Genomic DNA, 26,654 nt, shown 5'->3' with positions numbered 1-26,654 from the left:
TGGGAAGGTCTGGGGCGGGGAAGTGGGGTCTGGGCTGGGGTGGGAGAGTTGGAGTCCAGAAGGGGACCGCGGGGTGGAAGGGGTCCGGGCTGGGACCGGGGTAGGCGGAGTCCAGGAGGGGACGCAGGGTGGGCGGGGTCCGGGCTGGGTCCGTGGGGTGGGCGGGGTCCGGGCTGGGACGCGGGGTGGGCGGGGTCCGGGCTGGGTCCGTGGGGTGGGCGGGGTCCGGGCTGGGTCCGTGGGGTGGGCGGAGTCCAGGAGGGGACCGCAGGGTGGGCGGGGTCCGGGCTGGGTCCGTGGGGTGGGCGGGGTCCGGGCTGGGTCCGTGGGGTGGGCGGGGTCCGGGCTGGGACCGCGGGGTGGGCGGGGTCCGGGCTGGGTCCGTGGGGTGGGCGGGGTCCGGGCTGGGACCGCGGGGTGGGCGGCCCCGAGAGCGTCCCGCAGTGGCTGGAGCCCTGGGCGCTGCAAAGCGTGTCCCGCCGGGTCCCCGAGCGTCCCGCGCCCTCGCCCCGCCATGCTCCTGCTGCTGGGGCTGTGCCTGGGGCTGTCCCTGTGTGTGGGGTCGCAGGAAGAGGCGCAGAGCTGGGGCCACTCTTCGGAGCAGGTAAGTGGAGCCGAGGGGAGCCGGGTCCCGGGCGCGGCCGCCCCCTTCCCTCCGCCGGCCCGGCCGCGGAGCTTCTGCCCGGGCCCCCTTCGACCGTCTCCCAGGCCCCCACCAGAGGCCCAGGGGTCCCTCTCTGTGGGTCACTCGTGCGTCACCTCTGTGTGAGCCGCGGTGCCTGATCTGGCCTGAGGCTTCCTGCAGAACTGTGCCCGGGACTTGTCCTGCGGAGCCGAGTTTTTCTTCTTGGCTCCTGTTGATTGCGCAGATTTCTGTTCGTCGTTGTTAATTTCTGAGGTAGCTCCAAAAGTTATTATAATTACAAGGTTTTTTCCTTATCACGCGTGGGGGGCAGTCTGCTGTTATCATCATTCCCAGTTGATCCAGGGAGAAAGGCAATATGAGAGGAGTTCTAGACTCCTGGGAGCCTCAGCTTTTCCCACCTGAAAACCGGGAGAACACGACTTTCCCATTTAGCGACTACCTACCGGTGGTTTAGCATTTAAAGGTGGCACCGAGAGCCAAAGCGTCTGAGTTCCTCGAGTTGCTGGTCTGTGCGTTTGTCAGGATTTGTGTTTCAAATGTCTTAACCTCGCAGGCGAATAAAACCTGCAAATATGAAATGTCAATAAAATGATGAATAGAGCATTTTTGTCTTTAAAAAGTATGAAGCGGGTTCACACAAATAGCATTGAGAGCTAATGTGCAACATGGCCCTGTCACAAAGTAGAAGTGCTTTCACACACATGCCATTTAAATATTTAAGCCGTTTAGCTTCCAGCGTGTTTGTGCACGGTGGGAGGAAGATACAAGTAGGCGGACCTTTTCTCCCTTTTCCAGCCCCTGTTTTGAAGAGCAGTTTTGAAGCCCAACTGCCTAAATATGAAGACAGTTATCTTCATGTTCTCTGTCCTGTGAATGTGCTTAACAGTAAAGTGGTAGTAATGATACTTCCTTCTAGGGGGGGAGTAGCTAATAAAATCCCAGGAGGCATCGTAGTGATGTTGGAAAAGTGCAGGCTTTGGATGCAGAGACAGGCTGGGCTTTAGTTGTGTGTTCCGGGCAAGCCCTTTAATCTCTCAGAGCCTTCATGTCCTCGTTGGTCAGGGCAGGGAATGCGGCTCTTTTTGAGCAAACTTGCAAGGACTCAGCTAATTTGTGTTAAGCACCTGGTATACAGTGGACGCTCAATAACTGGGAGATGTTTTAGTAGATGGCTGAAGGCATGGGCTTGGTACCAGGATGTCTGGGACCACTTGATTCTTGATTCTGTCACTTATCAGCTCTGGGACCCTGATCAAGTGCCTTTCGGCCTTATATTCCTCTTCTGTGAAATGTGGAGAAATGATAGGGTTGTGAGGACTGAATGCATTATGACACCCAAGTGCTTAAAACACTGTCAGCACTTAATGCTGGCCATGGTCTTAGACTCATGCTGCTGACATGCTGAGTGAAGGAATTTAGGGTAAAGATCTTGAAACTTTTTTGGGGGTGTGGAGACAGGACAGTGTGGGATGGACTGAAACAAAGATTCTGTGTCTGAACTAGGAAGGCTGTTTAAACTCTAGCATATACCAAGTTCAAGTAGGCTTCACAGTCTATGGACTTGCTGTCATAAAAAAACATGGCTTGACCTCTTTTAGTGATTTCATGCTGTCTTCAACCCAGCACAATATTTATTTATCTTGAAAATGACTAAATCAGGAAAAAAAATCCAAGGTATAAAGTTCTATGAACTTGCAATTTTACCTTTTATCCCTAATCCGTTCTTTTTTATATTTAGTTTTTGTGATATAGGGTTTGAGAGCATAGGCTTTAGCACCAGAATTCTGGGTTCAAATCTTGGCTCTGCACTTACTGAGGAGTTACTTAACGTTTGTGAGCCTCTATCTCTGTATGGGGATGATGCAATTACTTAGGATTTTGAAAAGTGAAACAATTAATATACTTAAATCTTAGAACAGAACCTGGGAATGTAATGAGCACTCTATTCTCAATCATTATGGTCTTTAAAATTGTATGTAAACTTAATTTGAAAAATGTAAGTCTATGCAAATCTTATGCAAATTTTAATATAGCTGAATATGACTATTAACTTGCATTGCAGTTATTTGTCATTCACCTGTAATTGGAAATATACCAGTAACACCTTAGATTCAAGTTCCTTCACCTCTCACCCTTCACCCCATCTGTAGACAGTGGGTACTCAGTAACCCATAGTGGAATGACTCCTAAAAGCAGTGGTTTTCACCCTTGGGGTGGAAAAAGTCACTTGGGGTGTTCATTAAACATTCAGCTTCCTGAGTTCCACTTCCATTGGTTTAGATCCATTGGGTTTGGGATGGGGCGCAGATGATTCTGATGCAGGTGGTCCATGGAACACATTTTAGTTTTTTTTTTTTTTTTGAGACGGAATCTCGCTGTGTCGCCCAGGCTGGAGTGCAGTGGCAGGCTCTCTGCTCTCTGCAACCTCTGGCTCCTGGGTTCAAGTGATTCTCATGCCTCAGCCTCCCAAGCAGATGGGATTACAGGTGCACTCCACCATGCCTGGCTAATTTTTGTATTTTTAATAGAGACAAAAATACATCACGTTGGCCAGGCTGGTCTCAAACTCCTGAGCTCAAGTGATCCACCTGCCCTGGCCTCCCAAAGTGCTGGGATTACAGGCATAAGCCACTGTGCCTAGCCGCACACTTTGAATAGTAGTATTTTTAAAGGATATTTTGGGAAATTAGTATTTAAAAGAAAATCCCTTGTATAAAAACTGTCTGCTACAGACTTATCTGTTTTGTTAGCTTAAATTTATATGGTGTCTTTAAAGATAGAGTTATATTCCCATTATTATCAAAGCAGTTTTAGATTGACAAAATAGTAAAAGCCACCAGTTATTGAGTATCTGTAATGTCCCAATGTCTCAGGGAGTTTGCTAGGAGCTTTATGTGAAAATAATAAGAGGCAATAATGTATTCTGGTTGAGTACTCCATGTGGTGCCGGACTGCCTGGGCTCATATCTGGACCCCATCACTTACTGCCTGTGTGTACCTGGGCAAGTCACTTAACCTCTCTGGGTCTCAGTTTCATCATCTGCAATATAGAGTTGTTAATAATTCCTACTACATAGGCAGGGGTGGATCTAGGCTTTGGGAGGAGAGTAAAGTTTATACAATTTGCAGGACCCTCTTGAAGGAAAAAAGTATCAAATTATAACTACAAAATTAGGTGCTAAAATGACTATTTATTTAGAAAGATAAAGAAAGCACAACAAATTACACATTTTGACAATCTGACAGGCACCACAAACATCACGCATTTTTAGGGGCTTGCACAAGTGAGGTGTCCTGGAGCTTATGTTTTATTAGCATGTAAATAATAATTTAATTTTTATAAAAATAACAGTTCTGCTTTTATGGTTGTTCGAGGATTAAATGAGTTAATTCAGGCAAAGCATTTGCATATAGTAAACACTTAGGTAATATTAGCTGCTTTTACTATTTATGCACAGCCTAGTTAAGTCTCTGACTACCGCTGTAATGTCTCAATGTACTTATTTGACAAAGGACAACCAGGAAGTCCTTTCTGAGAAGTGACAGCTGCAACAACCTACTATGTGCAAAGCCTGGATTGGAGTGTAGGTGTGCCGAACACCAAAGCTGGGGCTCTCAGCAAATCCTTCAAACAGCAAGCCATGTTCACTTTTATAATTTAGTTGAATTTATTTAAATGTGATTTGTATTTGTAGCTCATGGCACATAGGTGATGTGCAATATATGCTAGTCATAATTCAAACATCTATTGTGGTGATACATTTCTAATTCCCTGAATTGGACATTTCCAGATTTTTAATTTCTTACAAATTCTCACTGAGAAGCAAATTTTTGCATTTGGGGGGGAAAAAAACAACAAAAATCAAGATAGCTATTTTTTTTCAACTCTTTAAAAAACAAAGCCAGTGAAAGATTTTGTAAGCTTCTGGCCATTCAATAACGTCTCCCTTATGTGCAGGGCTGGATTGTTGAAATGAGTTTGTAGGGCAGAGTGCGGAAGGAGTATGCTGTGGGAGAAATTCCAGGGATTTGGTCACTCCCAAAGCAGCCATATGCCATTTCTTGAGGGTGGAAAGGAAGGGTGGGGAAGTCCTGAGAACTGGGTGATGAGCTGTGTGTGACTTGGTGTTCCTAACTAGCACTTTCCCCAAGTCCTTGGATGCTCACATATAAGGCGATCTTGCTTATCATGTCATCAGCGTAGCTGCTGGGAATGCCAGCCGGGTGTTTCTGGATCTGAGGAGCAGTGGAGTAGGTCGATTTAGGAAGATGGGGGACAGAGGATGAAGACCTGAGCTTTTTTTAGGAGGAGGGTTCTGAACCACTCATTATTTTCCCACAAGAAACATCCAGTTCCCTGATTTTTCTTTTCTTTTCTCTGTCTGTCTCTCTCTCTTTTTTTTTTTGAGACAGTCTCACTCTGTTGCCCAGGCTGGAGCGCAGTGGCATGATCTTGGCTCACTGCAACCTCCGCCTCCCGGATTCAAGCAATTCTCCTGCCTCAGCCTCCCAAGTAGCTGGGACTACAGGCACACACCACCACACTTGGATAATTTTTGTATTTTTGTAGAGACGGGGCTTTACCGTGTTGGCCAGGCTGGTCTCGAACTCCTGATCTCAGATGATCGGCCTGCCTTGACCTCCCAAAGTGCTGAGATTACAGGCTTGAGCCACCGCACCCCACCCCTGATATTTTATAGGTAAATAAAATAAACAGGGTGACTTGCCTAATGGCAGTTGCTTTTAAAAAATTTTAATCGGCCAGGCACAGTGGTTCACACCTGTAATCCCAGCAGTTTGGGAGGCTGAGGTGGGCAGATAGCTTGAGCCCAGGAGTTCAAGACCAGCCTGGACAACATGGTTGAAACCCCATGTCTACTAAAAGTACAAAAATTAGCTGGGCATGGTGGCATGCACCTGTAGTCCCAGGTACTTGGGAGGCTGAGGTGGGAGGATCACCTGAGCCCAGGTAGTCAAGGCTGCAGTGAGCTGTAATCATGCCACTGCACTCCAGCCTGGGTGGTATGAGTTGAGACTCTGCCTCAAAAAAACTTAAAAAACAATCTTTCTGGAAATTGTTTGGAATTTTAGCTGTAATATCAGGTTTCTTCTTCCATTACCAAGGTGATAGGCATCCCAAATTGCAAATGATTAATAGCTAAACAAACTTGCAGCAACATTACTTTCAAGGAAGAAAAATTTGGGGTGAGTGATATAGAATTACCCAAATGGGAATATTCTCAGACTAACCGTTCTCAGCCCACATGATAAATGGCATCTCATGTGACTTTCCAACATCTAGCCCTTTGTTCTGTTCCAGGTCCTATAGCAGATCTCTAAGGTAATTGGCCCTTAAGTTTCTCGGTTTGGGTTTCAGCATTTCAGAATGCCCTTAGAAGAATGGGGCCAGGTGGTAGATAAATTCCTTGTACAGATCCCTCTAGGAACGCATGACTTCAGTCAGTTGAAGGTGTTTGGCTGAAGCTGGCCTTGGTGTAATGGCTCTTGGATCTGTTATGGCAGCAGTCCCCAACCTTTCTAGCACCAGGGACTGGTTTTGTGGAAGACAAGTTTTCCACGGAATGGGGGTGGGAGGGATGGTTTTAGGATGAAATTGTTCCACCTAAAATCACCAGGCATTAGTAAGAATCTCGTAAGGAGAACACAACCTAGATCCCTTGCATGCACAGTTCACAATAGGGTTTGCCTCCTATGAGAATCTAGTGCCTGGAGCATTAGGAGGCAGAGCTCAGCCGGTAATGCGGGCTCGCCCACTGCTCACCTGCTGTGTGGCCCGATTCCTAATGGGCCACCAACCTGTACCTGTCCACGCCCCGGCGATGGAGACACCTGTGTTATGGGACCTAGAGTCACGGATACAATGTTATAGCTCAAAAGAAGAATGGAGGATGCAAACCTCGCCTTTACATCTGTCTTTAAGTCAACCGGGTCATTACAGCATCCATACCAAAGGTGGAGTGTCTGTGCTCAAGAATTAGGCTTTGTTTCTCTCCTCCTGCCTCCCATTCTTTCCCATGGATGGACTCTCGAGATGACTCAAGTACCTATCTCTCTTCCTCCCTCAGTCATGATCTGATGCTCCGGTGGATCCTGGGAAGAAAAACACAACCCCTATCAGTCAAATTATAAACATTTAAGCGGCACTGGCAGGTTTTTTTTCCCACCTATAGTTGCACTAATTGATAACGGGGTAGGTTTGGAGATTCCACACTCCACAGCTCTGATGATGTTACTGACACATGCTCGTCCTAAGGAAGCCTTTACCTCACCTTCTGTTTCCTGGTGGTGATGTTGCTGGGTCCATTTGTGTTAGAGGCAGGTGCAGGTCTATGAAGTTGATTTTCTGAGGATTGTTCCTGTGTTGAACCTGATTCTCTTTCACTTTCTTCTTCCCTTTCATCCCACTCCAAGACACATCTCCACAGCTAAGCTGCAGCCCTGTCTTCTTCATAAAGCCTTTCACGGTCACTCAAGAGCATAGTGATCTCTTCTTTCATCTATTTCTTTTGTAACTTATAAAACTCACTTTGTCTATTGTGCTTTCGTGAGCATATATATTTTTGAAAATTAGAGAGTATGGTCCTTGGTGGCAGAGATGGTGGCTTACGTTTTTCTCAATAAATGTTGTGGTCTGGATATCTTCTGTTCTGATGCTGGAGAAATAACCTCAGCTGGGTAGCACCATCTCTTAAGTCCATGATTTGGGGCCTCAAGGAAGTCAGTGGAAGCTCTAAGATGGCTATTTATGGTAGTTTTGCCTGAAGCTGGGAGTCAGTTACTTTTCTGTAGCCAGACTCCACCCCTCGTTTCTTAAAAGGCACCGGGAAAACACTCAAACAATAAAAAGGATCAGGAATTCTTAACTAAAAACGATGATGGTATTAATGTCATTTGCACTTCCAATCCTAGCTGGCACCAGCAATGTACGTGTACTGGGAAGTTTTGATTCTGGGTCAAGCTGAGTTGAAACTTGGACTGAAGTGTGGCCATAGTGATCCCCTGAGACATCAGATAGGCATCTCAAAAATGAAAAACCAGCTTCTCTTGTTCTCCTTGAAGCATGCTTATTTTCTCAGAAAACCTATTTTACAAAAGAGAAAACTTCAAAGAAAATACTTTAGATCAATCAGGGAACTTAATACCTGAGAGGGGCTGGGCTTTCCTTCTGACCATAGTTATTTTAAGTGGTCCCCAGGCTGCTCCACAATTTAGGGAGGGAAGGGCAAGAGATGATCATGCAAGACTGATAAAGAACTTGCCCAGGGTCCCTATGATGGCCTTCCTTTCACAGTCTCTTGTGCATCTCACCTCATTTTATTTTATTTAATTAATTAATTTACTTTTAATTTTTATTTTTTTTTGAAATGGACTCTCACATTGTTGCCCAGGCTGGAGTATAGTGGCATGATCTCGGCCCACTGCAACCTCCACCTCCCGGGTTCAAGAGATTCTCCTGCCTCAGCCTCCCAAGTAGCTGGGAATATAGGTGTGTGCCACGACGCCCAGCTAATTTTTGTCTTTTTAAAACAGAGATGAGGTTTCACCATGTTGGCCAGGTTGGTTTCGAACTCTTGACCTCAGGTGATCCACTCACCACAGCCTCCCGGAGTGCTGGGATTACAGGCATGAGCCACCGTGCCCAGCCTCACCTCATTTTAGAATTCCAAAACCGATATACTCCTAGGAAGTGTTTGGTTTGTAAACCAAGAATAAAATTTGAAGGCCCGCCAACCAACTGAATGGACTTCCTCCTCTAGTCCAGGGCCCTCTAAGTTTAACCTGAAAGACTGGTTCAGACCGTCACGGGAAGTGGGGGTCTGGGAAGTGGGGGTTTGACATGCCTCCTTGTACCCCTCCAGCATGAACATCAACACAGATCTTAAGTCTGATAGGAAACATTTACAGTCGATGCCCTCTAAAGCCTGCTACCTGGGGGCTTCATCTGCATGATAAAATTTTGGTCTCCACAACCTCTTATTATAACCCAGAGATTTCTTTCTATTGATAATAACTCTTTCAACCAGTTGCCAATCAGAAAACTTTTACATCTACGTATAACCTGGAAGCCCCCACCACCTTCGAGATGTCCTGCCTTTCTGGACTGAACCAATGTATGTCTTACATGTATTTGATTGACATCTCATGTCTCCCTAAAATGTATAAAACCAAGCAGCTGTGCCCCGACACCCTGGGCACGTATTCTCTGGATCTTCTGAGGGCTGTGTCATGGGCCATGGTCACTGATATTTGGATCAGAATAAATCTCTTCAAATATTTTACAGAGTTTGACTCTTTCATCAATAGGTTCTTACTTGGAGTCAGGGTGGATGTCAGCCTAAATCCTGTACTATTTTTCTCCATCCCATGTTCTATTGAATAGTAGACTCTATAATGGCTTAGAATGGCAACTTACAATGTATATATATATTTTGGGTGGGGAGATAAAGCAGGGAATGGGGTTAAAAGAGTTTCTCTTATACTTTTAGTCTTCAAAATGGAAATATCTGCATTTTGTTAAGACTTGAGGTCATACAGAAAAGTTTAAAGAACAAGATGTCAATCAAAGGTAACAGCCATTGATTAGCACTTTGATGCACATTCTATACATAAAAACACTTACACTTACAAAAATGGGATCATGTTACATATAGTGTTTTGTTACCTGATTTCATCACTTAAAATTGTGTCATGAACATATCTCTCAGGATAGACTAGGTTACGCTGTGGTATCCGGCAATCCCCAATTCTCAATGTCTTAAACAACAAACTCTTATGTCTTGCTTATACACCTTGTCCATCTTGGGTCAGCAGTGGGGCAGCTCTGCACCTGTTGGTCACTGTGAACTTGGGCTTCATGGAGCAGTCATTACCCCAAACATTACTAATTACTGTGCTGAAGAAAAGGCAGTTCTGGGACACTGAACATTAACTTAATGCTTGGCTCAGAAGGGACTAATGTTACTTACATTCATAACTTATTGGCCAGAACTAGTCACATGACCCTGTCTACTCACAAGGACTAATCCCTCTGGCAGAGAGCTAGGAATATATTTGGAGAACAACCTCGAAGTCCAGTAAAATGAATGTTGATTCATGTTAGTAAATGTAGGTGCAGGTCCTTATTTTCAGTAGCTGTGTGGTAATTAATCAATGTATCATAGTCTACTTAACCGAACCACATTTTCAGGGCATTTTAGGCTTTTTCTAATTATGAGCAATTGTTTTAAAAGTTTCCAAGAATTTTCTTTTGTGTTCATTTTTTTTTTCTATCAGTATTTTCTTCCCTTTTCTGTAAGTAGAATTTATAAATTAAAAGATTGCATACTGGTGGGAATGCAGAATGTTACAGCCACTTTGGAAAACAGTTTGGCAGTATCGTAAAAAGTTAAACTTGGCCAGGCACGGTGGCTCATGCCTGTAATTCCAGAACTTTGGGAGGCAGAGGCGGGCGGATCACGAGGTCAGGAGATCCAGACCATGCTGGCCAACATGGTGAAACTCCGTCTCTATTAAAATACAAAAGTAAAATTAGCCGGGCGTGGTGGTGCATGCCTGTAGTCCCAGCTACTCAGGAGGCTAAGGCAGGGGAATCGCTTGAACCCGGGAGTTGGAGATTGCAGTGAGCCAAGGTGGCGTCACTGCACTCCAGCCTGGGCAACAGAACAAGACTCCGTCTAAAAAAAAAAAAAAAAAAAAAAGGCCGAACGCGGTGGCTCACGCCTGTAATCCCAGCACTTTGGGAGGCCAAGGCAGGTGAATCACGAGGTCAGGAGTTCGAGACCAGCCTGGCCAACATGGTGAAACTCCATCTCTACTAAAAATACAAAAATTAGCGGGGCGTAGTGGCAGGCACCTGTAATCCCAGCTACTCCAGAGGCTGAGGCAGGAGAATCGCTTGAACCTGGGAGGCGGAGGTTGCAGTGAGCCAAGACCATGCCACAGCACTCCAGCCTGGGCAACAGAGCGAGACCGTCTCAAAAAAAAAAAAAAAAAGAAAAATAGACATGAAGTCTAGGCATATTTCTTATGTTTTTGATCTACATTGTAAAACTGCCTTCCAGAAAGGAAGGAAAACTTATTACTCCCAGCAACAATAGTTTACACTTCTATTAGTTAATGAGATTTGCCATGAGTAACATCCATATAATCAGCTAAGACCTTTAAATTAGTCCAGAGTGTCTAGTTAATTAATTATTAATGAGTTTTTTTTAAAAAAAATCTTTTGGCTGGGCACAGTGGCTCACGCCTATAAATCTCAGCACTTTGAGAGGCTGAGGTGAGAAGTTCGCTTGAACCCAGGAGTATGAGATCAACCTGGACAACATAGCGAGACCCTGTCTCTACAAAAAATACAAAAATGACCCCGATCTGGCGGCTCATGCCTGTAGTCCCAGCTGCTTGGGAGGTTGAAGTCGGGGGATGGCTTGAGCCAGGGAGTTTGAGGCTGCAGTGAGCTGTGATCGCACCACTGCCCTCCAACCTGAGCAACACAGCGAGGCCATGTCTAAAAAAAGACGATTTCATCACTTTCCCGCATCCCTCCCCGGCATGTGGAAGCATATAAGAAATCATCCAGAAAAGACACCATGAAGAAAATTCAAGATAAGTTCAGTTTTGCTTCCAGAGTTTCCTGGAGTTTTAAGTTGAATAGTGAGCCCACTGGAATTAAGACTGAATACCTTTACTTACTGTAATAGACACAGTAGCAAAGAGTTTAACTTGAGGCCCCAAATAAAATGAAACAGAATACAAATACTCTATCTTTTTGTTCTTGTCATTTCATCCATCTCCTCTTACAGATAGAAGAATGCTCAGGCGATGAGATAGTGTGACATTATGGGTTAAGAGTCAACCAGATCTGACAGGGATGAATTCTAATTCTGGCCTCGAAACAAACTCCCTGATAAAAAGTCAAAACTGCTTTTCAGGATAGATACAGCTTTTGGTGAATCTGAATAGATTTTAACCCCCTTGTATAACTCATGTGAGAATGACCTCACAATCATATTTCATGTCTCTTCTCTTTTAAAAATCACCTTTTTAACAGTCTCTTCTCTTTTCTAGGATGGACTCAGGGTCCCGAGGCAAGTCAGACTGTTGCAGAGGCTGGTAGGTATATTCATGGTGCATCTTGAAAGTCCATTCCCTCATTCTTCTATTTATTTTGAACCAGGTATCCACTTTGCTTGCAGATCCTCCAAAACATATAAAGTTGCTTGTAGAAAAATTCTGAGATGAAACAGCATAGTTGAGTCTTTTATAAGGCTTTCTTTAAGTGGATTTTTTTTTTCTTTTTTCTGGAAGGAGACCTGATTATTTCAGTAGAACTAAAAACACAAAGGTCTTTGCAGGTTTATTTTTTTTAAAGCCTAAATATAACTTTTATTTATTTTTATGACATCCTTACTCAGGAAATGAGAGCTTTGTTGTGAAGTAAACAACTAAAGCAACCAAAGAATTGACATTTGTAGACTAAAGCATCACGTGATGAAAGTTGGATAGGCTCTCAATGCTGCTGGAGGCTAAGAGATTGGGACCGGGGCAAATGTTCAGAAGCTCTAAGAGCTTATTTGAAACTACCTCAGTTCTTCCTTACCACTGTGCATGGAGTGAAATATCAAAATGTAGAGACATGCCTTTAGACTCTGGTGAGGCATTTATCCTAGCCCTCCCTGCACCTGGCTGGTGTTTGAGTGGATTCAGATTTCTTGTCATTACCAATATCACAATCATGACTATCTTTGTTTGGATTGAGATTTTGAATTAAAAAAAATTTTTTTTTTGCTTGGTTTTCTCATCTCCTTTCCTTCTTCTGATCCTCCCAATCTTACCTCCCCATACCCCAAATTCATTTGCCTAGTATTCCTTCTTTCATGTTTTCTCCATGTTCACATAATCCTAGACAATGACATATGTACCTAAACATGTCAAGAACTGTGAAGGGGCTGAGATTAAAGCTACTTACAAGCTAATAAGCTAGTTTGTTACCATTTCATGGATACTAGCAGAAAACAGGAGACTCCTGGGTCAGAGACAAAGGATGATTTATTACTCACAGTAATAGCAGTAGTCAAAGCATGTGTGCCATTCCCCTGGTTCCCAGAAGGTGATAGACATGGCCAGATGACACCTGCCATGCAGTTGGTTTGCATTGTGTGAAAGGAGCCCTTAACTTAGGGAACGCGACTCTTTAATAATGAGCACTAAGCCTGCCTGGTCTTTGCTCCTGGAGGGAGATATTTTCTTTATTATTCTGCACATTAAGCCAAACTGTCTTCTTCCCTGAAGGGGGAACCTGTCTTCTGAGGCTGTTCACTATACGTTTGTAAAGGTAATTCCCAGCAAAGGCAGCTAGAGTCTCTGCTTGCAAATTGTGCAGAAACACCAGAGATTCATGGAGAATAGCCTCCCAGCAATACATACATACATGTAAATTGTAAGCATACTGATAATTGAGATGATGACAAGTGCCACTGAAAAATAGAATGCAGCAGGGGAACCCGAGGCACATTTGCATATGGGAGACCTCTGATCATTGCTCTAAAACCATGGGTGCATGTGACGGCTCATGTCAACCGAATGCTTACAGAGTCTCACTCTTGTTGCTCAGGCTGGAGTGCAGTGGCGTGATCTCAGCTCACTGCAACCTCTGCCTCCTGGGTTGAAGAGATCCTCCTGCCTCAGCCTCCTGAGTAGCTGGGATTACAGGCATGCACCACCACACTTGGCTAATTTTTCTATTTTTTTAGTAGAGATGGGGTTTCACCATGTTGGCTAGGTTGGTCTCAAACTCCTGACCTCAGGTGATCCGCCCACCTCGGCCTCCCAAAGTGTTGGGATTACAGGCGTGAGCCACTGCATCTGGCCCTCAATTACTCTTATAACAATTATTTGAGGCATTTTACAGATGAGAAAACAAATTCAGAGAGAGTAATTTTCCCAAGACGACACAGCTGGGAAGAGGTGGTAGAGCCAGGATTTGAGTCCAGTTCAGTGTCTGAGTCCATGCTCTTAACTAATACACCAAATGGGCCTCTCAGTTATATGTATTTAAATCTGTATTTATATGTATTATAATTTACTAAACTTTCTGTTATTGATGAACTCTCAATTTATTTCCAGATTTTTTCACCCTGTACACAATCCTTCAAAAAACACTTTCATTTCTTCTTTTATGTGGGTATTTTTAATTCTACGACTTACAATTCAAACTGCATATACATTTTAAATTTTGCCAGGCTCGATGGCTCACGCCTGTAATCTCAGCAGTTTGGGAGGCTGAGGGGGGTGAATCACCTGAGGTCTGGAGTTCAAGACCAGCCTGGCTAACATGGTGAAACCCCATCTCTACTAAAAAATACAAAAATTTGCCAAGCGTGGTGGTGTATGCCTGTAATCCCAGCTACTCGGGAGGCTGAGGCGGGAGGATTGCTTGAACCCAGGAGGCATAGGTTGCAGTGAGCTGAGATTGCACCACTGCACTCTAGCTTGGGCAACAGAGCAAGACTCTGTCTCAAAAACAACCTTTTTTTTGATAGATGTCAGATTAATTTTTGAATACTATTACTCTTAACACTATCTGTATTCATACCATGTCTATCAGCAATGATGAATACACACATTTCTGCCAGCAACTGATATAATTACTCTTTTAAATTTGCCAATCTCTTACTTAGGAAGTGATATCTCATTGTTCCTTTAACTTGCATTTCCCTGCCTATGTACGAATTTGGAATTTTTTTCTTTTATTGCTCAAACCATTCTCCATAACAAGGATTTGGACATTTTAAATTATATTTGTTAGCCATTCAGAGTCGTTCTCCTGTGAATTGCTTTTTTTTTTCCAGGTCCTTTGCCCATCTTTCTATTGTGTTTTTTATCCACCTCATTGTCAATTTATCAGAGACCTTTGTATGTGATAGATACCTTCTGTCTTCTAAACTGGAAGAATGCCTCTCTGAATCTATCATTTATTAACTTTCTTTCTGGTATGTTTGCCACATAAAAGTGCTCAGTTCCTAAGTAATAAGTAGTTTATGTTTTCCTTTCAAAGGAAAGGAAAAAGAGGCTTTGTACACGTAGCCTCTAAGGGTACAAAGATTTTCTTGACTCCTTAGCTTAGACCATTTATATAACCTCTTAGATTTTCTTAGAAATTTCTTAGAATTTTGAAAGTCTTACTTTTACAACTATCATAAATTTTTAACATGAACTTTACTGACCATCCAGTTGGTACTAGAATGATTTTTCCAGTGGTAGACCTGGCGCATCACTCTCTTGCGTGCATGTCTTCAGTGACTCCACATCACCCGTGGGATAAGCTCCAAGGATGTGTGAAACCCTGCGTGATGCGCCTCCTGCTTGCCTCTGGAGCTCAGTTCATCCTATGAGTCTCCTTCTAGCCTGCATTCTTGCCATCTCCCTCCAGTTGTCATCCTCTGAATGTTCCGTGCTTGAATTAATGAATAGAATGTGGATGGCAACAGCTGGTACTCCCGTAACACTGCCAGGACCACAGGAATTTGTTTGATTTTATTCTGAATTAATTAGATACCCTTTTTATGAAGCTCCCTGGCATACATACACACAAAATATTTACTCTTTGGAAAGCAGGGGGATCTTTGTGTGTGAATTTCCATGGTGCTGAATGGATCCTGGCCTGGGTTTCCCAAGAGGATTCGCTGCCATCATTTAACCTCCTGACTGCAGGGTCTGTCTTGGTGTCTGCTTTGCAGCAGGTGTTCTACAGTTTGTGCTCAGGGTTTGTTTCTATTGAGTGTGGTAAGATACACAGACAGAGAAATGACTGACATGAAGGAGGAATTTCATACTCACAGATCCCTGGAGGCAGGGGCAGCAGCATACCATGCCAGGACACATGGGGAAGCACCATGGTGGGTCAGGGGCAGAAGGTGCAGAGGACAGTGTGTGTCTCAGAGCCTGCATTGGGGTTTTCATGGGAAGGAATGGGCAAGGCAGGGTAGTAGGTAGGCTGAGGAGGTTTAGGATTGGCTGTAGGGTTGGTCTCTAGTTGTCAGGTACCTGGTCCTGGGGAGATTTAGGGTAGGGGGAGTATTGGCTTGGCGCATGAGTTTTATTTATTATTATTGTTATTATTATTATTATTATTTTGAGACAGAGTCTCACTCTGTGGCCCAGGCTGGAGCCCAGTGGTGCGATCTCGGCTCACTGCAACCTCCACTTCCTGGGTTCAAGTGAGTCTTGCGCCTCAGTCTCCCGAGCACCTGGGATTAGAGGCCTCCCGAGTACCTGGGATTACAGGCATGCATCATCGCGCTCGGCTAATTTTCGTATTTTTAGTAAAGATGGGTTTCGCCATGTTGGCCAGGCTGGTCTTAAACTCCTGACCTCAGGTGATCCGCCTGCCCTGCCCTCCCAAAGTGCTGGGATTACAGGCGTGAGCCACCGTGCCCAGCCGAGGTGCATGAGTTTGATATGGGAGATGGTTGGATGTGTGGCTATGGATTGGTCGGTTTATATATCAAAGGTATGCTTGCAGCAGGGTTGTCTGCTGTTCCTAGGAACAAGCCAGCCCTGGGAGGGACGGTCTTTCCAGGATCAAAGCCCCAAATGCCAGAGCATCAAGAATATAGAAAACAAGAAAATACAGTCAATACAGCAGGTAGCATGACTCTGGGCATCATACCTCATTGAGGACCAGTCATATGTGTGTCTGTGCCTGTGCCCAACTCTGACCATTGTGTGCATCCTGTTCAGGAAGTGTATAGAATGGGGCGGGGGAGGGGGAGGGTTTTCTTGTATAAAAATAAAAATGGCATTTTGTTTTCCTTCTCCCCTAAATATAATGAAACATCACTACGTAGACTGTATTAGCACAAGTAGGTGATTCAGAACCGATGCCATTTCCTGTCTACAGAGGGGTAAAATGATTTCCCCGAGGTGGTAAATCTAGCAGTTGGGGAAGTGCCTTTTTCTCCTGTTTCATTCAATAACAACATGGGCTGTATTTTTTTTTTTTTTTGAGATGGAGTTTTGCTCTTGTCACCCAGGCTGGAGTGCAATGGCATTATCTTGGCTCACTGCAACCTCCTCTTCCCGGGTTCAAGTGATTCTCCTGCCTTAGCCTCCTGAGTAGCTGGGATTATGGGCACCCATCATCACACCTGGCTAATTTTTTGCATTTTTAATAGAGACGGGGTTTCACCATGTTGGCCAGGCTGGTCTCAAACTCCTGATCTCAGGTGATCCACCAGCTTTGACCCCCAAAGTGCTGGGATTACAGGCATGAGCCACCACGCCCGGCCCTGTATTGTTTTTCTCAGAAAGGAGAAGCATTAAGGGTTAGTAGAGATTTGGTGCGTGGAGTCAGCCAACTGCCACGCTCCAGCCTTCTCTCTAAAACAAAGGGGAGCAGAGTTAGATGATTTCTAAAGTTCTCTCCCACCTCCATAATGACTTCTCATGGTTGCTAAAGACTGGTTAGACTGAAAGAAAATAATGAAAGGTTAATCTTCTAGGAAGAGGCACTGTGGCCTGAGTGCTGGCAAAGGCCGTCCCAACCATTTCTCCACCACATTTCCAGATGGCATCTTGGGTGACTCAGGACATCCTCGGGTGGCTTGATTTTAAGTGCCTCACATGAGTCATACCCAAAGCTTGGGTCCCTTGAGCAATTAAGACACTCCCTGCCTCAAATGACTTTTCCATCTGTGTTGCCTTTGTAGGAAAAAATAATGAAGAAATTATCTTATGTCACAGGAAGATTTTTTTTACCACTATTTTCCAGCGGACATCCCAAAACAAAGTTATGACTTAAATAGAAATATGGAAAGCATGTTGGATTTTTAAGAACCGTGCACTGGGAAAAAGTGAGGCCACTGTTTTATATCCTTCCTTTCATGACACATTTTCATGAGCCTCTGCCTTTCAAAGGCCTCGCTTGTTCTTTAGGGTTGTCTGTTTCCTGTGTTACCTGCCTGTCCAATATTCTTCTCACAGCATGCTCTCTTTTCTAGTCATTGATCTGGGAATGTGCTGTGATTCATTTCCATTTCCATGTCTTCCGTGTTCTTAGAGTGTTCTTTCTGTTCTCTTTCACCACATGTAAATACTACATCTGTTTTAAAACATTTTCTTACTTTTGCAGACCTCACTGATTTATCTTTCTTCTCAACACTGGAAGGTCTTATAGTCAAGGTATCTATCTATCTATCTATCTACCTACCTATCTATCTATCCATCTATCTATCTATCCATCTATCCACTTACCCATTCCTATATCCCCTATCTCTTTAGACATAAAAGATTAGATTTCATATATATATATAGTTTTCCTCTATCTTGAGAGCTGTAGGTAAAAAAAGAACAACATGTTAAGCACTATTATGTCTCATGATCTAAATAGAAACTCTTTCTAATGCAAAGAAGAAGGAGGAGGAGGAGGGGAAGGGAAAGAAGAAGAAGGAAGAAGAAAGAATAAGAAGAAGAAGGGGGAAGAAAGAAGAAAGGAGGAAGAAGAAAGAAGGAAGAAGAAAGAAGAAAGAGGAGAAGAAGGAGAATGAAAAGAAGGGAGAAGGGAAGGGGAAGGGGAAGGAGAAGGACAACAGGAGTAAGTAGTAGTCATGGCTTCTGTTCTTCGTGTTTACAATCCCATAATCTACCAGGGCAGGGGTAAGGGTTGGTAACTGGGAGGGGGATAGACTCGTGCCTAATTGAATCTAGTAGATTCTGCACCAAGGAAACTGTAAGAGAAGGGCCAGGCTGTGGTATGTCAGTAAGAGCAGGGGCTCCTGGGAGAATTGTAGCTGGGCAGAAGCACAAAAACTAAAATAGTTTCTTGAACCTTTTTTCAGCCTGTCTCTTGGGCCCATAAACTAAGCTTCATATTCTTGATGTAATATTGTGGAAAATTCTACTAAATCTATACACTTAATTTAAGGTATAAGAAGATAATGTGATAAACTTAATATTGTCAGGTATCTTCTAGTTTTCACATTTTAAATTAAATGAAATTATTTCTTATCTCATAAATAAGAACAAATCACCATGACATTAAAAATATTCTCAAGCATACTAAGTGAAGAAGATTTTGATCTATTTTAAAAATACTACTGAGCAAGAACTATTAGCAGAAGGAGCTAAATTTTACTTGGAACAGTGTGCAGCTACAGCTGTAAACTTCTGCTTATCTAAGATGTCAACTTAATACTCTCCCCTCACTAGTATTCTACTTTTATGTAAAAGAATTACATGATAAATTGACAAGAAGAATTTTTGAAGTGTCAGAATATGACTACAGTTCAGAGAATACATTCAGTTTAATGTCCTCTATCTTCAATGTGTACAATTTAATGGATGATAACTGAGGTTCACAAGTAACTTTTGAATTAGCACCAAAGACTGAATTATATTTACTATACCTTTGGAGTTCTATATTTTATTGGTTATCAAACAATAATCACTGCGAAAAGGCTTGAATTAGCCAGGGTGTCTCTGTGTTCTTTTTTTTTTTTTTGAGACAGAGTCTCGCTCAGTCGCCCAGGCTGGAGTGCAGTGGTGTGATCTCCGCTCACTGGAAGCTCTGCTTCCCAGGTTCACGCTATTCTCCTGCCTCAGCCTCCTGAGTAGCTGGTGCCCGCCACCATGCCCGGCTAATTTTTTGTATTTTTTTTTTTTTTTAGTAGAGACAGGGTTTCACTGTGTTAGCCAGGATGGTCTTGATCTCCTGACTTCGTGATCCACCTGCTTCAGCCTCCTAAAGTGCTGGGATTACAGGCATGAGCCACTGTGCCCGGCCACTGTGTTCTTTTTTGAAAGAGACAGGATTGGAAATCGAGGCTTTGGATGGCCATTGGGGTTGACTACCTTTTACCTGTGTGATCTGGCAAAGTCACACAGTGAATGACTTTGGCCTAGACTGGAAAAGTGAAGAGTTTATATTTAAGAAGCTCTTTTTCTTTACAGTTTATCTTCATAGTTTAACTTCTTCCAAAAAAATTTCAAGCATATTTTTAATATGCTGAAAGTTTAGTTTACAAAACATAACAAAGTGTGTAAAGATCAGAAATGACATAGAGTTGGAAATAACTAATAAAATAACTAAATTTCACTCACCAGCAGTCACACTGAAGTGGGGTTGCAAACTCGAATGTCTACAGAGACTAGACAGGTGTTCACGTTTTCTATTGCTGCACAAAAATTTTCCACAAAATTCAGTGGCTTAGAGCAACAACGATTTTATCCCATCATTTGGTGGGGAAGGATTTGGACAGAGCTCAGCTGGGTGATTCTTCTGGCCTGTGGTGTTGCTGGAGGTTGCTCTGGGGTGTTCAGTTGGCAGATGGCTGCTCTGGAGGGGGCAGTGCAGCTTCCTGCATGAGCCGGGCTCCTTGGCAGGAGCAGCTGGGCTCAGCTGAATTATTCTCCATGTTTTTCCTGCCATTGTAGCAGAAAAGCAGCCATAGACAGTATGTAAATGAATGGATGTGGCTGTGTTTCAATAAAACTTTATTTACAAACAGTGTGGCCTGCCTGGCATAGCTTGCCTACTCCTGCTACAGATGAATGAGAGAGCAGGGACATCTGAAAGGACTTTCCAAAAATGATGAAAAATGATTACAAATGGATGATGGATGATGGGAGAACTGGTTAACTAAAATTTAATGCATCCATAAAATGTAATACTATGCAGCTATTTTTAAAAAGGAAGGAGGTTGATATTTTTTGTTCAGTGGCAGATTGCATTTTCCAAAGATGGCAGCACTTGAATGTGCCATTCCTCCCATGGAGATGGGGGTCTGTGCCCTCTGCCTTTGAAACTGAGTGTGCCTTTGTGCCTGCTTTGACCAGTAGAGTATGATAGAAGTAATGCATTGTGATTTTTGAGGTCAGGGCATGACAGGGCATCTAGCTTCCACCTTGCTGTTGGGAAAGCTACCAGGTGACCGGTAAAGCCTATGGCTACCAGGTGACCAGCTGACTCATGTGTAGTGGCCCATGCTGTGAGTTCATCTACACTTGCCCATTTGGAAGGACTATATAGAGGGGATTGAGGGACAACATGAGATAGAGAGATGCCAGCCTTGGCTGCCTCAGCAACTCACAATTCCAGCTTCAGCCACCCTTTGTAGAGAAGCCAGACCTCCCAGCCAAGCCCTTCTGGAATTCATGACCCACAGAAACCCTGAGAGGAAACATAAAGATTGCTGCTGTTTTAAACCACTGAGTTTTAGAGTGATTTGTTAAGCAGCATGAGATAGCTAAGACACAGATAAAGAAAGATGAACTAACTATATCACTAGGTGAGATTAAGCAAATTAGTACAGTATATATTTATGGAAGGATATACAAAAGTTGTCAAACATTGTCTCTGGGAAATGGAACTGTGAATCCAGGGTGGGAGGGAGACTGCTATTTTCATTTTATATTCAGCATAATTAGAAGTTTTTACCATGTGCATATGTTACTTGATAATTTTTAAAACACCAGTTTAAATTTTAAATAAAGCAGAGAATGATAAAGCTAGAATATACTGAGTTTGTGGGATTTTTTTTAAAGCATTGATTCCTATTTACTTTCCCATGCATCTGTAGAAATCAGAGCTGGGTGCAGTGGTATTCTAGATGCTTCGCAAATTCACAAGATCACAGCCGTGGGGCATTTCTTATACACCAGTTTAGATTTGGAGATAAAAGAATATATTTAATCATGGATAATTTAGAAAGAAAACCTGTTCCAGAAATAACACAGATCAAAGTAAACACTTCCTCTCAATTCATGGTCTTATTCACCTTGGGGTTCTTTTTTTGAAAGATAATGAGATACAAATTTTAACTTTAAAAAAAACCCCACAGGTTGTCATGCTGTTAAGATCATTATCATTATCATCCCCAGCCTAATCCTCATTGCCTTTACTGAAATGTATGAAATGTTTTTAATGAGATCATTTAACAGAAACATTTGGTGAAGCTACATGTTGGAGTCTCTTTTTTAATCCTAATCGCTTTGGAGGAGAGAGACAGATTTTGTCCTGAAGAGACTAGGTTTCCATTAAATGGTACTGTATAATACAGCTTCTCAATTCAGACATAATTTCCTAAACCCAAAGGTTTTATTCCTCAGTTTTAGCTTTGCCGTAAATCTGTGGATCACAGATGTGGATGTAATTTTGGTGATTTATTCAAGCCCTTTTCACTTGCAGATGAAGAAATATATATTTTAAAGTTCAATTAGTAAAAAGAGACATTCTCAAGCTTGATCAGGCATTAGAATGACCTGAAGGGTTTGTTAAACTGCGGCTTGCTGGGCCACCCTCTGAGTTTCTGATTCTGTGGATTTGGATGGAGTCTGAGAATCTCTAGCAAGTTTCCAGGTGATGGTGATGCTGCTGGTCCGAGGACCACACTTTGAGAAGCGCTACTTTGAAATAATTCCTTCTCAAACTAAACTGGAAGGTTTCTTTTCCTCTTTTAGGCAAAACTCTTTCAACAATACTCAGATTTTTTTTTTAAACTTGATCATTACTTAAATGAACTGTAAATGTTTATCCCTTCTGTCTCTCTAAGAAAGATGCACATCCCCCTAACGTTTTCGTTAAGCTGTTCCATTTGTCTCTGGCTTTTTTGAATTACCAAGACTGGAAGTTCTTGCACAGTCTGCTACAAAGATGAATGGCCCTGACACCTTTGCATGGAGTGCTTGCCCATTCTCTCCCCTTCCTCATGTGCTTGGCTCCAACCATTGCAGCTCCCTGTCTTGGTGTTCAAGTCCATCCTCAGGTGTGCTTGATATATATATATATATGTGTGATATATATATATGTGATATATATATGTGATATATATATGTGATATATATATGTGATATATATATGTGATATATATATGTGATATATATGTGATACATATGTGATATATATGTGATATATATGTGATATATATGATATATATGTGATATATATGATATATATGATATATATGTGATATATATGATATATATGTGATATATGTGATATATATGTGATATAGATATGTGATATATATGATATATATGTGATATAGATATGTGATATATATGATATATATGTGATATATATGATATATATGTGATATATATGATATATATGTGATATATGTGATATATATGTGATATATGTGATATGTATGATATATATGTGATATATGTGATATATATCATATATATGTGATATATCATATATATGTGATATATCATATATATGTGATATATATCATATATATGTGATTATGATATATATGTGATTATATATGATCTATATGTGATATATATGATCTATATGTGATATATATGATATATGTGATATATATGATATATGTGATATATGTGATATATGTGATATATGTGATATATATGTGATATATATGATATATATGTGATATATGTGATATATATGTGATATGTATGATATATATGTGATATGTATGATATATATGATATATATACACACGCACATATATGTACATATATATATATATTTTTTTTCTGTGACAGGGTCTTGCTCTGTCACCCAGGCTGAAGTGCAGTGGCACAATCTTGGCTCACTGCAATATTTGCCTCCCTGCTTCAAGCAATTCTCCTGCCTCAGCCACCTGAGTAGCCAGGACTACAGTCATGCACCACCACACGCAGTTAATTGTATTTCTAGTAAAGACGGGGTTTCACCATGTTGGCCAGACTGGTCTTGAACTCCTGAACTCAGGTGATCTGTCCACCTTGGCCTCCCAAAGTGCTGGGACTACAGGTGTGAGCCACCGCGCCCAGCCGGTGCACTTGATATTTGTAGCCACCTCTCTAATACATCATAGAAAATGTCTCTCAAGCTTTTGGTGGTTTGTATGCAGATCGTGATTTCACGCAAACATTTTGAGTGCGTATTTGTTTAAATAGAATAACCCTCTGTAGTAACTTTTTTGAAGCAAGGTTTGTGATGATCTTTGTATGTCACAGCAGGAATATGTCTTTGATAGCAATAGGTCGCAACCTTATATCTGTTTTGAAAACAGGCCTAGGGCTGTAAATAAATTAATAAAGCAGATGAGGGCTGAAATAAACATTGCCCAGCTAGGTGACAGTTCCTGAAGGAGAGAGTAGAATCTTATCAGAGTAAGCCAGTTGCATTCAACATGTTTTGAGAGCCTTTGTGTGCCCAGGACCAGCATGGGGGTTGAGCACACAATTATGAGCAGGACGTGTCTGCAGAGGGCAGCCAGACAGTCTCACATAATAGTGGCCAGTTCAGACTTTGAAGTAAGTGGGATCGGGTTCAAGTTCCACATCCATTACTTGCTGGCATGGACCAATATGTGCCCTCACTAAGCTTGACTTCCCTCCATCTATGAAATGGGAATAAAACACCTACTGCGTATGTCTTCAAAGACTGTCATGGGGTAATGTCTTGTTTTAGCTTGCTCGGGCTTCCATAACAAAATTCTATAGACCATGTGGCTTAAACAGCATACATTTATTTTCTCACAGTTCTAGAGGCTGGAAGTCCAAGACCCAGGTTCTGCAGGGTTTGGGTTTTGATGAGGGCTCTTGTCCTGGCTTGCAGACAGCTGCCTTCTCAATGTGTGCCCACATGGTCTTTCTTGGTGCACACACATGGAGAGAGAGATAGAGAGCTCTCTTATGTCTCCTCTCTTAAGGGCATTAATCCCATCATAGAGACCCCACCTTCATTACCTCATCTAAATCAATTTCTCCCAAAGGCACTCATCTCCAAATACTGCCTTCCCCGCAACCCCACCACCTCCCATAGTAGGTTAGGGCTTCAACATGTGTATTCTAGGAGGACACAGCCCATAACATGCTTGTTAATTGCTTGACCAGTTCCTGGAGTTAGATAACCACTCTGTTAGCAGTGGCTTGTGGCTTTCCTTACAAATGTTTTCTTCCTTCTTCAGGCCTCTGCTACCAGCTGTCACCAGATGTAGCTCTGTTGTAAGGACTAGAAAAAGCCCTGAAGAGTTTTAACAGGCTTTTACATTTGCATCTTCTAGTTACTGCTCTCATCAGGGGCTTTTGGGAGAAATTTAATTAGCACAGACTTATGTGTTCCTTTTTCTGGGTTCTAAATTCTCTAGATACTCTGCTGAGTTCAGTATTGATTCCTATTTCACAGTAATGCGCCTGTAATTCAGATAGGGAAGCTCTGGTGTATCGTTTCTCTAAGTGGACATTGAAAGTAATTTTAAAATACGAGATTTTTGTTAGTCATGTTCCGGTTTTTGGAACATTTCGGTAGTCCTGTAAATGTGATATAAAAGTGATAACAGAAGAGTATTATATACAGCACATACTTTACTTCTAAAATTCCGATGATTGAACTGTTTAAGGAACGTGTATTTTCTGCCAAATTGGACGTCTTCACTGTGTTCACTTGTTAAAGTCAGGTTAAAAGATTTGCTTGTGTGTTATTAATTGTTTATGCAAAACAACCAAGGTTGTTTTACAAAGGAAGGGAGTTAAAAATGGGGAAATCAGGAAAAGAAGAAGAAAGGAAATTGGAATCACATGCCAAAGGCTCCCAAACTGAAGATTATTTCCCTTGTGGAAAAAAAAAAAGATGTTCCACTACCACCAAAATGCTTTCATGCATCACCGATGATACTGTGTGTTTTCATTCCTACAGAAAACCAAACCTTTGATGACAGAATTCTCAGTGAAGTCTACCATCATTTCCCGTTATGCCTTCACTACGGTTTCCTGCAGAATGCTGAACAGAGCTTCTGAAGACCAGGACATTGAGTTCCAGATGCAGATTCCAGCTGCAGCTTTCATCACCAACTTCACTATGTAGGTGACACGCTGGTCAGGGATGAAGATTTCTGCCTAGGGTGGTCAGGTTGAGCCTGAGATGTGAGGTCCACAGCCTTGTGACTGTGAGGATTTATATTCCAGTAGATGGTATATAGATCAGAAGGTCAATTCTTTTGTTCAAATTCATTGGTTGGTTCATTCATTCATTCATTCCTTTTCTTCTTCTCTTTTTCCCTCCCTCCTTCCCTCCCTCTCTCCCTCCCTCCCTCCCTCCCTCCCTCCTTCCCTGCCTCCCTCCCTCCCTCCCTCCCTTCCTTCCTTCCTTTTCTTTCCTTCCCTCCTCGTCTCTCTCCCTTCCTTCTATTTTCTCTTTTTTATTCAATTTTTTTCTTCCTTTCTTTCTTTCCTCTTTCTTTCTTTCCTTCCTCCCCTTCAACAAATGAATGACCTTTATGGGCCAGGTTACTCTTCATGAAAACTGGTGCACTTCTCTGAGAAAGACAGCCTCACAGTGCTGCACAAATTCCAGTAGGGAGAACCAGTCAATAGATAAATGAACAAAGAATAAATGAGATGAATTTCAGACAGTTGCAAATATGATAAAGATGGCAAGTCAGACCAAGAGGGTCTTCTTCAGTTAGGGAGATCTGGGAAGAGCTTTCAGGAGGCTCTTCCTCCTCCATGGTGAAGTTGAGGGTTGAAAGACAAGGCAGTGTAGAACCTTTGATATACTAGATTGGATATCTTTCCTCCTTCTCTGAGCCAAGAAGTAAAGATATGTAAAACGGGCTAGGTGTTGGGTTTAATTTTTGGCCCAGGTCAGATGTAAGTTGGTGAATCTTCATGGTAGTGTGAGCAGATCTTGTGACTTTTCTCCTGGAGAATCACAGAGGCACCATGGGTTGGGTCTTGCTATTTGGACCTGTTGAAAATTGCCCTAGAATAAAATGAATGATTCAAAGGTAGTGCCCTAGTCTGGAATGCATTCTTTCTACACATCCAAAAGGCAAATAAAAATATTTCCTGGGGTTGTCATGGTTATAAGATCCATGTCTGAATTTGTCTTGGAACTGCAAGCTGGTAGCACAACTGTCTCTTGTATTTCAGGCTTATTGGAGACAAGGTGTATCAGGGCGAAATTACAGAGAGAGAAAAGAAGAGTGGTGATAGGGTAAAAGAGAAAAGGAATAAAACCACAGAAGAAAATGGG

At 42.5% G+C, this 26,654-nt stretch overlaps 1 protein-coding gene across 4 annotated transcripts in view; it reads left to right on the top strand.

The window, feature by feature from the left end:
• The window catches only part of ITIH5 (inter-alpha-trypsin inhibitor heavy chain 5), a 107,697-nt gene continuing 81,483 nt past the window's right edge, over positions 441 to 26,654 (top strand). For all 4 annotated transcript variants that reach the window (NM_030569.7, XM_011519713.4, NM_001001851.3 and 1 more), the window contains exons 1-4: positions 441 to 604; positions 11,732 to 11,776; positions 25,317 to 25,480; positions 26,552 to 26,653. In NM_030569.7, the coding sequence (NP_085046.5) occupies positions 515 to 604; positions 11,732 to 11,776; positions 25,317 to 25,480; positions 26,552 to 26,653 (401 nt within the window). In that variant the 5' untranslated portion in view covers positions 441 to 514. The remainder of the gene's footprint in view (positions 605 to 11,731; positions 11,777 to 25,316; positions 25,481 to 26,551; position 26,654) is intronic.

Source organism: Homo sapiens, chromosome 10 (genome assembly GCF_000001405.40).
Source record: "Homo sapiens chromosome 10, GRCh38.p14 Primary Assembly".
In the NCBI taxonomy this organism is placed as follows: domain Eukaryota; kingdom Metazoa; phylum Chordata; class Mammalia; order Primates; family Hominidae; genus Homo; species Homo sapiens.
This window is presented reverse-complemented; position numbering and strand designations above follow the sequence as displayed.